The sequence below is a fragment of the Homo sapiens genome, chromosome 13 (assembly GCF_000001405.40).
Source record: "Homo sapiens chromosome 13, GRCh38.p14 Primary Assembly".
Classification (NCBI taxonomy): Eukaryota; Metazoa; Chordata; class Mammalia; order Primates; family Hominidae; genus Homo; species Homo sapiens.
Genome location: NC_000013.11, coordinates 113,758,255 through 113,774,326, shown reverse-complemented (window position 1 = coordinate 113,774,326; position 16,072 = coordinate 113,758,255). Strand labels below are relative to the sequence as shown.

The 16,072-nt window shown below is 49.3% G+C and overlaps 1 protein-coding gene across 2 annotated transcripts in view, besides 2 other annotated features; it reads right to left on the bottom strand.

Moving 5' to 3' along the window:
* The window catches only part of TMEM255B (transmembrane protein 255B), a 57,770-nt gene extending 42,669 nt beyond the window's left edge, over window positions 1-15,101 (bottom strand). For both annotated transcript variants that reach the window (NM_182614.4, NM_001348663.2), the window contains exons 1-3: window positions 15,012-15,101; window positions 8,070-8,212; window positions 5,167-5,229 (exon numbers count right to left, since the gene is read on the bottom strand). In NM_182614.4, coding sequence (NP_872420.1) covers window positions 5,167-5,229; window positions 8,070-8,212; window positions 15,012-15,057 — 252 coding nt within the window. In that variant the 5' untranslated portion in view covers window positions 15,058-15,101. The remainder of the gene's footprint in view (window positions 1-5,166; window positions 5,230-8,069; window positions 8,213-15,011) is intronic.
* Window positions 14,382-14,883: an enhancer, noted in NCBI's record as "H3K4me1 hESC enhancer chr13:114462417-114462918 (GRCh37/hg19 assembly coordinates)". NCBI's record gives its function as "activates a minimal SCP1, AML or CMV promoter by ChIP-STARR-seq in naive H9 embryonic stem cells {active_cell/tissue: H9 hESC(naive)}" and the evidence as "EXISTENCE:reporter gene assay evidence [ECO:0000049][PMID:30033119]".
* Window positions 15,440-15,941: an enhancer, noted in NCBI's record as "H3K4me1 hESC enhancer chr13:114461359-114461860 (GRCh37/hg19 assembly coordinates)". NCBI's record gives its function as "activates a minimal SCP1, AML or CMV promoter by ChIP-STARR-seq in naive H9 embryonic stem cells {active_cell/tissue: H9 hESC(naive)}" and the evidence as "EXISTENCE:reporter gene assay evidence [ECO:0000049][PMID:30033119]".

Genomic DNA, 16,072 nt, shown 5'->3' with positions numbered 1-16,072 from the left:
GGAAAAATACCTAAAGCTGATGTGATTTGGGGCATTCTTCAGATGTCACCGGAGACTAACATGATAATGGGTAGGGATAATGGCGAAGCCATTCCTAATGATCAGATTTCATCCCTTAAGTGAACAGAGTGAAATCTTTATAAATGAAATGATGCCACGTCTGGCATTTGCTTCTAAACAACATAGGAAGAGAAGAAGCAGGCGGGGGGTGAACAGGACAAGTGATGGAGTTGGGTGGGGGGCAAGGAGGGTTCATTGCGATTTTCTTCACCCTTGTATGTGCTTAAAGTTTTCTATGGTAAAAATTTAAAATAAAAATAAATTGAGAAAAAAGTGTTCACGTGTATCTGGAAGCACTGGAAATACACTCGTTCTCTCTGTAGCTGACGTTGACAGCCTGCCTTGCTGCCTTTTGAAATAACTTGAATGTTCTGACATCTATGCACTTAAAACCAGTGTATAACAATGACCACCGCTTTCTCGAAACCTGTCATGAACAAGACATTCTCATGTGCATTGGCTCAAATGTTCCCAGCCACCATGCAAATGAAGAAACTGAGGCTGAAATGCTTCAGTAAGTTTCCTACGATCACGCAGCACTCACGGACAGCCAGGTTCCAGCTACCACAAGTATTAAATTAATGTGAGATTGTGAAATATGGGTTCACCATACAACATCAGCCCAGAAGAATGCCTCTCCTGAAAAGGCAGAAATGAGCTTGCACAGGCATCACAGACAACCCCTCAGAGGTTCTGGTCTGGGGCATCCGGGTGCCTTCCTCACCCCAGTGAGGGAAGCCCGTGGACAGGTGAACACCACACGGCTCTGGCAGTGGCCGTCACTCTTGGGTCTTTATCCTGTCATTCCAGTACCCATGTGTTTTTACCGAAGCCATAGAAATGGTCCCCATGCATCCAGATTGTAAAGGAAGAAGCAAAAGTGTTTCTATTTGACATGCTCCAGTAGATTAAAAAATCCTGAGGAATCCATTTTTTAAAGAACTACTAGAACAAAGAAATGAGTTCCACAGGGTTGCAGATATTAGATCAACATACAAAGTCAACAGTATTTCTAAACACTTGCAATGGACAACCCAGAAGTTAAATTAAGAAAACAATTCCACTCAAAATAGCCTCAAAAAGAATAAAGTACCTAAGAATAAATTTAATTTGGTAAGTACTTCATTTGATAAATACTGAAAAATAAGTAAATTTGATACAAAACTTATACTCTAAGAACTACAAAACATTGTTTTAAAAACTAAAGAAGGTCTAAATAACTGGGAAAACATTCCATGTTCATGGATTGGGATACTTAATATTAAGATGGTAACACTCCCTACACTGAGCTACAGATTCAGCACATCCCTACCAGAATCCCAGCTGGCTTCCTTGTAGAAATTGACCAGTTGATTCTAAAATTCATATGGAATTGCAAGGGATTCAGAATTGCCAACGTAATCCTGAAAAAGAACAAGGCTGGAAGACTCACAAGCCCTTATTTCAAACTCACTCTAAAGCTACAGTAATCAAGACTGTGGTACCGGCACAAGCAAAGACATATAGATTAAAAGAATAGAATTAAAAGTCCACAAATAAACCATATATGTATGGCCAATTAATTTTCAACAAGGGTGCCAAGACCATTCAATGAGAAAAGAACAGTCTTTTCAGCAAATGGTGCTTGGACAACTGGATGTCCGTAAATGCATGAACATGGGTCCCTACCTCACACCATGAAGAAAGTTAACTCAAGGTGGATCACAGAACCAGATGGAAGAGTTAAAACTATAATAACTCCTACCTCATACCATACGCAAAAGTTAACTCAAAGTGGATCACAGACCCAGATGGAAGAGTTAAAACTACAAAACTCTTCTAGAAAAATCTAGGGGTAAATCTTCATGTCCTTAGATTTGTAAAACATTCTTAGATATGACACCAAAAGCATGAACAACAAAAGAAAAAATAAATTAGAGTTCATCAAAATTAAAAACTTTTGTGCCTCAAAGGACACCATTAAGAAAGTGAAACGGCAATGTACAGAATGTGAGGAAATATTTGCAAATCACATATCTGAGAAGCGATTTGTATCTAGAATACATAAATGACTCTGATGACTCAACAGGAAAAGGCAGCCCAATGTAAAAATGAGCAAAGGAAATGAACAGACATTTCTCCAAGAACATATGCAAACGGCCAATAGGCACATGAAGAGATGCTCGACATCACTAATCATCAGGGAAATGCAATCAAAACCACAATGAGATACCACTTATCACACATTAGATGGCTAGAATCAAACAGTCAGTGACAAGTGCTGGTGAGGGAGTGGAGAAACAGGAGCCCTCATGCCTGTCTGTGGGAATGTAACATGGGGCAGCCACTTTGGAAAACAGTCTGGCAGTTCCTCAAATGATTAAACAGCATTACTGTATGACCCAGCAATTCCACTCCTAGGTACATGCCCAAAAGAAATGTAAATGCATTTTCACACAGAAACCTATGTACAAATGTTCACAGCAGCATTATTCACAACAGCCAAAGTCTGTAAACAGCTGTAATGTCCATCAACTGGTGTATGGATAAGTGTGGCCCATCCATACAGTGGATTATTATTATTATTATCATTGTTATTATTATTATTTGAGACAGAGTCTTGCTCAGTCACCCAGGCTGGAGTGCAATGGCTCAATCTCGGCTCACCGCAACCTCTGCCTCCCAGGTTCAAGTGATTCTCCTGCCTCAGCCTCCTGAGTAGCTGGGATTATAGGCATGTGCCACCATGCCCAGCTAATTTTGTATTTTTAGTACAGACAGGATTTCACCATGTTGGTCAGGCTGGTCTTGAACTCCTGAACTCGTGATCCGCCCACCTTGGCCTCCCAAAGTGCTAGGATTACAGGCATGAGCCACCGTGTCCGGCCCATATAGTGGATTATTATTCAGCCATAGAAAGCAAGGAAATTTGGAGGAAGCTTAAAGACACCATGCGCAGTGCCAGACACCAGACACAGAGACCGCACATAACACGTTACTGCCTCCACACACAAGCCCAGAGTAGGAATCTACAGAGAACACATATCACACATTACTCCCTCCGCAGGCAGGCCCAGAGTAGGAATCTACAGAGACAGGAAGTTGATTCCTGGTTGCTTAGGCTGGGTAGGTAGGGTGCTAAGAGAAGGGTGTGGGTTTCTTGCTGATGTGATTCATGTTTTAACACTGGCTGTGCTGATGGTTCACATATCTGGGAATACACTAAAAACCATTGAATTGTGTGCTTTAAATGGGTGAGTTATATGGAATGTGGACTATATCTCATTAAAGCCATTTTTTTAAAAGGAAAGAAAAACAGACCCACACTGTCCACCCATCCTGTGCATCGCCAAAGCCCAGCTTCACACCCAGCTTCTGCCTCTTTGGGGAAATCTTATGGAAAAGTCTTCAGGAGGCCTTCCCTCCTCAGGCCCACCCAACTCCCTACAGGCACCAAGCAGCTCCAGACTCTGAAGAGATGCTGTCTAGAGACCATCATGGGGGCATGCTGGCTCCCAAAGGTGGCGTCTGTTTCCAACACCATTCTGTGACTGGTGTGTGTGAGGCCTTTGCCCACCCTGGTCAGCTGTGACGCCCACCCTCGGGAGCCAACAACAGGGGGTGGGTGGGAGAGGAAATGCCGGGCCTATCTCTCCGTCTCTTTGCAACTGCTAGCCAAGAACGGCAGCTCACCCTGCAGTGCACACTGTCTCTACTATGCAGAACAGAACGCTTTGCTCCACCAGAATCCCAGTGTCTTTGCAGCCACCCCCAACCCTCCAGGGACCTCCCACCCTCACACGGTCAGGCTCCATCTGCCCAAGGGTCAGTCTCCTGGGCAGCAGTGGGAGTTTGCTGGGTCCCATGCGGGGTGATATGGTTTGGCTGTGTCCTCACCCAAATCTCATCTTGGATCCTCATGTGTTGTGGGAGGGACCTGGTGGAAGGCAGTTGAATCATGGGGGGCAGATCTTTCCTGTGCTGTTCTCATGATAGTGAGTAAGTCTCACAAGATCTGATGGTTATTACAAGGGGGAGTTTCCCTGCACAGGCTCTGTCTTTGCCTGCTGCCATCCACGTAAGACAGGACTTGCTCCTCCTTACCTTCCGCCGTGATCGTGAGGCTTCCCCAGCCACGTGGAACTGTGAGTTCAATTAAACCTCTTTCTTTTGTAAACTGCCCAGTCTTGGGTACGTCTTTATCAGCAGTGTGAAAACAGACTAACATACAGGGTTCCGAGGGCATACACCGCGGCCCAGCCATCTCACCCTCCCTCTCGGCCTGGGAACTGGGAACAGGCAGGGGTTGGGGGCCCGACACAGGTCATTTGCACGCTGGATGATACAGTAACATGACAGCCGGTGCAGGGAAGAGCTGAGAACTCCAGCCTGCTCTGAAGCAACAACTGGGAGATGAGGCAGAAATGGCCCAACCACCTCCCCTCTAAACCCTGCTCTTAAAATTCAATCCTGGCTGCCACCGTGAACTGACAAAATTAGCCAGTTTTTGTTTTTAAAGTTATAGTCCCCAAAACAGTGCATCAACAAAACAGACTTCCAGCTGAACCTGATCGCTGTTGCCGCGCATACAGCCACGAACATCATGGACAGGCAGTGTCTGGATTTCACTCTGCATTGCTGCCATGTGAACCGGGGGCTCCCTCCTGGTTTTATGTCTTTACCTCTCCTCTTAGTCTGGGCAAGATAAACATTAACCAAACTCAGACGAAAAACAAGACTCTAGAGCCACTGGTTCAAAAGGAAGAGAGGCTTATGCACATGTTTTTGCCTGAACTTTACACACTAGGACTTAATTTAATTTGCCACCCCCGTCCCAAACTTCATGCATTCTCTGAGCTTCCCAGGCCTCAGCATTGGTGGTTGCACACCACGTGAGGTTGATACACCAGCAACCCAGGGCCATGCTCGCTTAGACTAAGGTGTGAATGGTACTCGCTGAACCCTGTATCCAGGACTGTGCAGGCCACAGCCCGGGAACCTCAGAGCTGGTCCTGTAGACACCAGTGTGCTGGGGAGGCAGGGCTGACTCTTCTCAGAGCCCCAGTGCAGCTGTACCATCCCCTGATGAGGGACTCATGCTCCCCACCACCCCATGTACTTTCTTACCATTTGCCTTCTATTCTCCACCAAGTTGATGCCAATAATTCCTAAGAAAGATCCAAAGCCGAGCTAAAACCAAAGGAAGAACGAGAGAGAAACACTCATTAACGTGCCTAGAAGCTTAACACTGACATTTAAAGCAAATAATCCCGCCCTCAAAGGCATTTTATCCAGGGACGAAGGCCAGACATCCCTACCTCAAGAACCTCAACCACTGAGCAGCAGGTGCGTCTGCTGGCGTTGGGCAGGCATCTCTGCAACATCACCTGTCCTGTCTTCTCTGCTCAGAGGTTTTTAATGATGCATCTGTTTGGCTTGTGACTCTGGGGTAAGAGAAGTTCCCACTCCTCCCCCAGAGACAACATCTTTTCGGGAACCCAGGGCCACCAAGCACCACCATCTGTCCCGTCTTCTCCAGGCCTGAGATGCCCCTGAGCATGGCTCCTGGGTAAGGTATTAGGGAACTACAGCCGTGTTTCAAAAGAAGGGTTGCCAGGCACAAGGGCCACCAGTGACCCCTGCTCAGACGGCCTAACTCTGGTTGCTGCTTCGGGAGAGTGAGCAGGGCAGACCGTTAGCAGGGAGGTGCCAGGTGTGGGGAAAGGGCACCTGAGCCAGGCACAGAGGGGGCACCTGGGCCAGGCACAGAGGGGGCCCCGGGCTGCAGCACAGGCCACCAGGGGTCCGGCAGAGCCCCCTTACTCCACAGGAAGCCCCAGCTCTGGGCAGAAAATGATACTGGGATGTCGGGAAATAGACATGGGACTGTGCTGTCTTAGAACAGAGGCCACCGGCCGGGCATCCGCACCCTCCACCCAGGGCCCGTCCTGGCAGGTGACGCCCACCTGGCAGAGGAATTTTTAAAATCAGTGTGAAGAACATGCATTTCAGCAACACCCACCGAAAATCTGGCTCAGAGCAGCCAACATGGACCTGCCAACGACCGTGCCGAGGCCTAAGACGGCTCTTGCTCCCACGCAGGTGCGCCGGGCCGGTCGCACTTCCCAGTGAGTGTCTGTTGGAAGGGGTGGCCCGCCCGGCACAGCCTTGGAGTTGCTGGGGCCGTGGTGTCAAGTTTAATGCACTGGAAACCGGACTTCTTTATGTAAATAGTTTTGCCTTTTCTGTAATTGTCTGTGTGTCTGTGGTGATAGACACGTACACATGTGGCTTTCACCAACGGTTTGAGAATTCTCCAGGGATAACAGGAATATTTCTTCATGTGCTGAGCTTCAAAATACTGCAGTTCAACTCCACACGTCAAAAATATCAAAATTTCACTTCGATATACATGTATTAAAATACATCTGTTACACTACGTTTTATTTTTTGGGGATTTGAAAAAAACCACACCTTTCTTGAAAATGTGGAGATGTTTTCACGTTCTGGCCGCTTCTTCTGAGATCAGCTTCTTAAGTCTCTACATTGGCAGAAAGTCTCCACAGAAGTGACTCTTAGCCACGTTTCCTTGAAGCTGCTTTTATTTGTTGTCTCCCTAGTTTGCTTTCAGAACTGTCTGTACTACAGGCCATTTCAATCTGGTCAGCACAGCATTAATTCATTGCCCAGAAGGTAGATTCTTTACAGAGCATAGCTTGGGCATTAGCCATTGATGTTTTTCATTATGTTATTCTGAGGCAGCTCTTAAATAAGCTTGAGGACAAACCAAAAAAAACAACCACTCAAGGCTGATCTTGATGTTTCGCAAATCACTTGGAGGTCCCTCCTCACAGCCACTTGCCCTCTGGGCTCCCCTTTCTGCCCAGGAAGCAGAAAAGCCCCTCACATGAGGCCAAGGTCCCCACACCATTGGCCTCTTGCAATTTTACTGATAAAGCTTTTTCTGCATAGATACTATTTGTATATGTTTATTCATAAACTATACACAGGTAGATAGTGTAGATGTCTAAGGCACACCCTAAGATATAAACAAAGGAAAATATAATGGTGAAATAAACAGTATTTGTAAAATATTTCTAAATACTTAGGGCCAAAAATCTTTCATCTTTGCTGATTGTCATCAATATTATTACCAATCTTGGTAGTACTTTAGGTGAGAGTAATGAGATTGAAGAAGCCGCATTTTAAAATCTTGCTTTAGCACTTTATGACGTAGCAACCAGGCTCTGGGGCATGTGAAGGGCATCGCAGCTGATCCAAGCCATTCCAACAGAGGTTCACTGTGCAGAATGCAGGCACTTAGGAGAATTCTTTTACTAACGACAGAGGATGTAATTTCATAGTTCAAAAAACCTTGATACTTTTGAATCTGGGTGACCAATTCTTGCCAATTAGGTTACCATCAATTTACCTCGCCGCCTTACTGTTCAAAATCTGGCCTGACGGGTGGATGAGGTCAGCACCACCACCTTCTGGCCGTTCCCACGCGATCACGTCACTAATACGATCTTTGACCCACGGCTTCTTGGTAGGAATCGTTTAAAGTTACTTTCCCCTTCCATGGGCTATGGTGGTCGACCTGGTCCCTCAGGGTAAAATCCTTCCAGGATGCTTGGGGAGGCTCTGTCCGGCCTTTTTGGACATCCTGGGCTCCTGGCCCCTCCTCCACCTTGGACATTTCCTGTTGCCGGGCTCTGGCCCCCCTCCTGCCCTCTGGTCACCCTGTGACCACATCGGGCCAACCCAGACAATGGAGGGCACCTGGCCCTATTTTGAGATCAACTTGGACCTCAACCCCAATTCCCCTCTGCCTTGGACCTGCCACTGTCCCAGGTCCTGGGGATTGGGAAGTGCATGTCTGTGGGGGCCATAACCCTGCCGACCACAAGCACTGATCGAAGCCTCCCCACCTTCAGCCCCAGCCCTGTGAGCTGGCGTGGACTCCACCCTGAGAGAGCCACACACCACCCTGCCCTCCCCGGCCCAGGCCGCCCGCCCGGCGCACTCACAATGATCCCTGGGTAGTAGCCCCCAACGGTCACATTCTCCGTCCTGGTGGTGGCAGCCAGCCCGACGGTGACTATGAGGACGGACACCAGCAGCAGAGACCCCACAAACCAGAGCGACGTCTTCTTCCTCCTCGAAAGCCCTTCTGTGGGGAGGAAGGCGAGGACCTGTCAGTGAGGGCTCAGGCTCAGGAGGGCGTCAGGCCAGCAGGCTCTGGGCCGTGCTCCGTTACCCAGGGGTCCTGGGATGCACTATCCCCGCCTGCCTCCAGGCCCACCTCAGGGGACCACCCCCAACCTCCATTAGATAACAGAATAAAATCTCTGGACCATAAGCCACTATACTGGATAGCCTGGTATTTGCGGCCAAACCTAATTCTAACTGTCACAGAACTCAAGAAAGCAAACTAGAAAGGACTCCTTCCTATTGGCTGCCTCTTCCTCTATCTGACTTTCTCCCCCTGGTGTCCCCAGGAGGACAGGAGCATCTTTTGTTTACTGTTTTATCATTACCATTCGCTCACAGACACACCCTCTCTATCCGCCTATCCCAGCCACACCCAGTGGGGGAGGGGGCTGCCACCAGGGGAGGGGCAGGGAGAGAGGAACGCACACAGCAGCCATCCAGCTGTGCCATCTGTTTTGCTTTATTTTTTGAAAACTGAATCATCTTGATCCCTGTGTGACTCCAAACAAAATAGGGGATTTAAAAAACCATGGTAAGGTCTTCCTACTCCAAGAGTTTGAAAATCAACATTTGTGTGTGTGCACATGTGTAAGTGCGTGTGTGCAGGGAAAGCAGACCGCACACTGGAGAGCCGCTGGCAGCGATGACGGCCGTGCAGACATTGTCCACACCCTAGAAGGTCCGCATCTGAAGATTTACACTTCTGCAATCCCATCAGCAGAGCTCAATGGCAAGGCAAGGTTATCGCACCCAAGGAAGGGATTGTTACATCCTCAGAAATGAGTTTCACAAAACTATAAATCAATGTGCAGATGCAGAATTGCTCTGCTGATCTGAGAGAGTCATTTTTATCCAGCTGACCCAGCAAGGGCGTGGCCTTGGTCACGGCCTTCCTTCAAGGCCCTCTTGGACTCAGCACAGCCCCCGGCACAGCACCCTGCCTGCCTCTTGACCCTTGCAAAGATACACTTGTCCCAAGAATCTCATCCTAAATCGCTTTTTACCTTCCACCTTGGAGGGGACCAGATCACTCCATTCGCCAATGTAATAAACCATCGGCTCCCACCAGCCAGCCAGGCTGCCCCCGTCTTGGACCCACTGCACCGAGGCGGCCAGTGGCACTGTCCTTAGTGTTATACTCCAGGCCGCAGGCAGTGGTTTCAGCCTCTCCCTGGTTGCCCCATCTCCTGCCTCCTTAGAGGCAGGCTTGTTGCAGCATCCACAGGGCCTTTGTACCTGCTGTCTCCAGCTAGACACTCGCAGCACTCCCTGAAGGCCTCTCTTACATGTTGCTGCATAGACACACTGAGTATAGTAGCCACACTCACCCCTGTGCTCTCCACAGTTGCCCCTTCACCCCTGCCCCTGCAGAGCATCCTCGCATGTGAGAGGCAGAGGGGACACCAGACAGACAGAGGCACACGCTGCAGGCATTGGAAAAGGCCAAGTTCAGTGGAGAAAACTTAAGCAGGGCTGGGGACAGGGCGCTCCGGATGTGTCACCCACAGGCAGCGGGCAGAGGGCAGAGCCTTCCCTGAGGGGCCTGGTGATGGCACAGTGCACCCCTCAGCCCAGCACCACTGGTGTGGAGTGAGGCCCTCCTTCTGAAAGCCACCCTCCTGAGACACCAGAGGCCGCAGCCCGGTGCGGGCCAGGGAGCAATCCCCACACCCAGCCTCAGGAACACGCCCTGGGGTTCGGGGTCCCTGCAGCCAGGGCCACACCTGCGCCCTCCGGGTCCCCAAGGCAGCTTCTGCAGGGGTCACACTGAATAAACCTAGAGGGGTGACAAGCAGGTGGGTGCAGGGGCGGGCACAGCACCAGGAGCCCCAAGGCCACACTGGCGGCCCAGGACCTGGCACCTACACATCCATCACCCAGTGTCTGTTAAAGTCATGCTCCCCCAGCCCCAACCCGTGTCCCCGTGTCCCACGCCCACGCCCCGGCCCATCCCACCCCAGGCCACACCTGCCTTCCTGTGTGCATGGAGCACGTCCTTTCTTGTCTTTGGATGGGGAGGACACTCCCCTCAAGTGACCGAGGCCCAGGCACCCGACACCTGCCCTGCATGAGGGGATGGGCGCTGCACCTGCCAGCCGGAACACACGGCCCAAGGCCTCCTCCAGCTCCGCCTCTCAGTCCCTCGCTTCTCAGCCTCAGGCTTCCTTCCTCCTCCCCACCTCTAACTCGCACAGTTCTTCCCTGTGTCTCTCATGGTATTTCTGAACTAAAAGCCAACCCTCGTTGGACTGGAAAAGGTTGGGAAGATGATAACGACATTCTTACAAGGAAAAGGGAGACAGTGGGTATATGTTGGAAAGTGTGATTTTTACGCTGCTCAGAAGAGCAGAGTGATTTTTTGTAGAACACTCATAAAGTACTGAAAAATGCAAAAGGGAAAATAAAATTCATGGTAACCTAAATTAACAAGTAGGCATAAAATCTTATGGTCTTTTTTCAATGCACTATGTACTTTTTAAAACATTTTTTTCTTAAATTAGGACCACAATGCTTTATAGTAATTTTTTCACTGAAATCTTGCAATTTGTTAAAAACCTGAAAGGTTATATGTTCACGGTCGTTTGCCCGAGAGACAGGAGCGATGGCGACAGATCCCGGGTCTCTGTCGGGAAGTCGAGGTGAGAAACGGCAAACCCACGCTGGGAGCAAGTGGGCAAGAGGAAGGCAGGCACCTCCCGTGGGTGAAACTCCGTTCTGGTTGATTCGTTTTAGAAAGGTAGGTAAACTTTTTAAAAATGGACACAAAATTTAAAAATATATGCAATTCCACATTTTGGAAGTTAATGAAACAGCTATTGTGGAATTACACAAAATAATCATATTGATGATAATAACACCATCTATGGATTGGGCTGTGTGTCGATTTTCAGAGCAGCCTAACTTCCTTATCTCATTTGATCATGACCAGAGGCTCCAGGTCACCCTCACCAGCCTCCATGTAACACCTGCCAATGCAGCCAAATGCTAGGTGCCTTCAACTCACACAATTCCCGCTTCAGCCTTTCCTGCTTTTCCTTAGGCTCCCATTCCAATCTTTTGACTGTTTAAATGTATTTTAAGAGCAATACAATTTCTAAAACTAAATTTTATGGGACTAAGTATTTGAGAAAATTATCAGACAAACGCTGTCCTTCTCAAAGGATTTTGTTGTGCGATTTTTCTTAATTAAATGCACTGCATGCATATAATATTATGCTCAAAATAGTTAACCAGATGACTCAGCGTCTGCTTCGACCCACAGGTAGAACCTTCCGTGGGGCTCCTGTCCCAGCCTCCTGTGGGCGTCCGTCTGTCAGGAACCCTGTGACTGGATTCTGGTTCTTAAAGCTGGAAGCTCTGCTCGGTTCCTTGGCATGAAGAGTGGGGGCCCAGCAAGACCCACTGGGCTAACTGACCTTGTCAAGTCAATCGGTAACATGCTGACTTGTTAATTACTATGCGAAGAGTTAGACACATCTCCTCTGAAACCACGTAAATCCTCCTACAAACCATTTTCAACCTAACTTTGCTATGTTTACCCCTCTTTCCTGAGTCTAACTTCCCCCCCATCTGCTACAAAATAAAAAGCAGAAGGTATGAGCCACCCTTTTATCAGCATTCCTATCACAGATTCCTAGATTATACAAGTCTAGAAAGACAGTAGAACTTACATGGGGCACTGGGAGCAATGGTTGCAAATCATCTCATTCAATTACACAATGGTGATATTTTGACTCCAGATATAATAGAGATAACAAAAAGAAGACTCCCAACCTTAAACACATTCTATAAATACATGACACAGCATAAAAATGAGAAAAAAAATAAACTCAAGAAAAGAAGGTGGGATATCTTTATAATTAGCATAAGAGATAATTATAAGGTCAGATTTTCAAGAGAAAGGGGCTTTCACTTAGGAGAAAGATAATTAAAATCACCTGAATAATTTCCTTGATTTTTTTTTTTTTCCTGTCCCGGAAATACTGTTATTACACGCACTGTGAAAATTAAAGTGCTCCTAAGTGCCCCAACTATTAATTAAAATATCTACCAATAGGTTTCTATTGCAGAGGCAGCTTACAGGGACTGGACCCAAACCATTCTGGGTCTGTCCAGACCCATTGTGTGGTCTTGGGCGGCCATTTAATCTCCCTGAGCCTGGGAGAAGAGAACCCTATGAGAGCCAAGAGCTCTGTCTCTTGTTTGTCGCCGGTTCCCGGGGCTCAGATGAGGACATAGACACATCTCCTGGTACGGAATGAATGAAGGCACTTCAGTCTCCTGACCTGTAGGATGGAAATCATGAGAACCACCTGCTCACCCACCTCTTGAGATTGTGATAAGCGTCCAGTGAGACACGATACGTGGGCTCTCATATAGGTTTTTGTAAATGGAATGCATATGCTAATCATCAGGGTGGTGTGAACTTTAAGACGGCGTAGCGGCTATTCTTAACCAGCATTTCTCCCACTGGAGTTGCAAGGAGGAGTTCTGAGATGTGAAGCTGAAGGGGCCAACAGCTACCTCTCTGCTATCAAGTGCGCTGATTTTTCTAATTCTAGTCTTCCCCAGGTGCAGCCCATCTAGGATATCTCAGAATATCACCTTGTCACTCCCCACCAGCCCCCACTTCTCCCATCCCACCTGCTCTCCCCTTCCTGGCTCCTTCCCCAGCCTTAGCTGGAGGAGCTGAACCACATGAGCCTGTGCCCACGCCAGGTCCTACCTGGAAGACACGCGAGGCTGGAGGTCAGGTTCTTCCTGCCCCTCAGACCCATTTCCTCTACTCCACAGAGCCAGGAAGGGGAATGTCACAAAGCATGGGAGGTGGCACTGCTTGGAAGGGTTCTAAGATCCGGCCTTCCTGCCAGCCGGACCTGGAACGCCCAAAAAGAAGAGTGAGTTCCATTTAATCATGTGGGGACACCAGTCATGGTGTCCAAGTAACAATCCCAGGTAAAACTGTAATCACTCAGCCGTCAATTCCTCTTTCGTCCTGATTTTACACATGCCCAGGGTAGTGAACAAAGAAGGGCAAAGCAGAAAAACCCATAATCCTACCCCCAGGTACCCCAAAGCAGAAAGACTATGGTCCACCCCCAGATACCCCAAAGCAGAAAAACCCACAATCTACCTCCAGACACACCAAAGCAGAAAGACCATAACCCACCCCCAGACACACCAAAGCAGAAAGACCATAATCCACCCCCAGGCACACCAAAGCAGAAAGACCATAATCCACCCCCAGATACCCCAAAGCAGAAAGACCATAACCCACCCCCGATACCCCAAAGCAGAAAGACCATAATCCACCCCCAGACACACCAAAGCAGAAAGACCATAATCCACCCCCAGATACCCCAAAGCAGAAAGACCATAATCCACCCCCAGATACCCCAAAGCAGAAAGACCATAACCCACCCCCAGATACCCCAAAGCAGAAAGACCATAATCCACCCCGACACACCAAAGCAGAAAGACCATAATCCAACCCCAGACACACCAATGCTTTATACATTTTAGTAAAAGACCAGCTCCAAACAAAAAGACCCATAATCCTACCCAGATACACCAATGTTTCATATACTAAAAAGACCAGCTCCAAGTATTGTTTTAAGGTTTAAAGTTCTTTGTCAGAAGAAAATCTAAGTCAGATGCTATTTTTAAACATTAAGGCATTCTAATAATGATAAAACTAGTTAATAAATAATAATAATAGTTATCATTATTAAACACCAATAGACTAATCCACATTAATACATTTGACCATAGAGCATTTTGCTTTAGATTGGAAGGCATATAGTGGTTTCTTTTAGAAAGAAGCCAAATTATTTGATTATTTTAAGTAACAGTAATTCGTCCGGTTCCGAACGATGCCGCAGTAAAAGGGTTGTGAGGTTAATCCCCAGAAGTTTGTGTTGGATTATTTCTGAGGGAGCGGCAGAGCCCCCTAGACACCACTCCATCCCTCCCTCCAGCCGTCAGGGCTTCACTTTCTAGGGAACTCTGTTTCTCTTTTGTTCTGAAATCTGCCCAGCCCTCTCCCCCTCAGGAAGACACCCGGCATCCTTCCAGTCCTGGCCACTTCCCGGCAGAGCCCCCGAGCCCGGCTTGCGAACTGGTGAACACGCAACAGGTTTCCTGTTTTCCCAGCCTTTGCCTGGCTCCGAGGCTGCAGCGGGCTTGGTCTGGGAAGTGGAAGAATTGGAGATTCCGTGAACACACCGGGGAGAAACACGAGAGAGGGGCGAGCCGAAACCAAGCAACACTGTCCAGTTCTGTGAGCGCCTCTGCACGTTCAAACAGGAAAAGGCTACCTCGCTCTTCCAAACGAAGTTTTCCCGGAAAATGGTGTAGGTTGGAATAAACGGAAGAGATGGGGAAGGAGCGCACTTTGGGGCGCCTGTTCCTCATAATAAAACGTAACAGGGAGAGAGAGGCCAAGAGGAACGGACACAGAGTCAGAGAAAGGCAAAGACTGAGGAGGCAGAGACAGAAAGAGCGAGAGAGACAGAGACAGAGACAGAGAGAGAGACAGGGAGAGAGAATGAATGAACGAACCGGTAGGACGAACGCCCGACCCCAGTGCGAAATGCAAAGTGTTCCAAAGACAGAGCTCGAAGGAGGCGGAGGGACCAGACCCCGTGCCGCGTCTCCGCGCAGGTTCCGCCCGGGCCGGCCGGGGACCTGTAGTCCCAGCCCCGGGGTCCCCACGCTCCCCCGCAGGAGCCGAGACGAGCCCCCAGCCCCGCGCTCACCTGCGGGGTCCAGCAGGCCCAGGGGCCCGGGCACCGGCGGCTGCATCCCGAGGCCCCACCCGGCTCTCCCGGGGCCACAGCCACAGTCCCGCCGCCAGGAGCCGCCCTCGCGGCGCCGCCCCTTCCCCGCCCCCTGCACCTCCCCGCGCTCCGCCCGCCTCGCGTCCTTCCTCGCTCTACTCTCCCTTCTCCGGCGTTTCTTCTCCTCCCTCCCCCGCTGCGCCCGCTCCCCCTTCTCCCCTCCAGCGGCCGCCTGGTTTCTGGAAATCAGGACGCCGCGGCCGGGAGTGGAAGCCAGACCCCAGATGGAAGGTGCCTGGAGAGGACCCTGCGGACTCGGGGTCGGAGCCCCGGCCTGGGACGGTGACCCCGGGCCTTCCGCCGCTGGCGCCACGCTCAGCCCTTGGCGGTGCCGCTGAGTGGGTCACCACGGGTTCGCCTCCCCATTGGCCGGTGACGGAGCTCCTTGGGGCTACAGGGCCAGCCAGCCCTTGATCTCTGGGTTCAGAGGGTGGTACATGGTGTTACAACCCAGTCTGCGAGGAACGAGTAAATGAGGAACAAACGCAAATGAGTAAATGAGGAACAAACGCATCTGGCACCTCACTCAGCAGCCCCGAGGCAGGGCTGACCCGCCTCTCCAAGGCCTGCGTCTTTGTGTCCACAGCACTGAAGTTGTTCTGAGTAAAATCTGCTGCTGGAAAGAAGGGCAAGGAAACACGGGGCCAGAAAGGGTGCCTCGTACAGCAGCAGGAAAAAATAAAGATCCTTCTAAACGTATTTTTAACATCTTTGAGTCAAGGACATCAGCGGTCCCGTCACAAAAGAAGATGCTTGAACGATCAATAAACTCAGCCCCCGGAATTAGGGGAACGCTGTGGGAACAAGAGGATGCGTTTCACCCTCATCCTATCAGAAAACCCCAAGGGTCAAACAACTTAAAGAATGTTAATGAAAACGTGGGAATCTGCATTCACCGCTGGGATCACGCATGGTGCCACCACTTTGAAAGCAACCTTTAGGAAAATTGAAGCAAGTAGATGACAAGCCAGAAAGAAAGC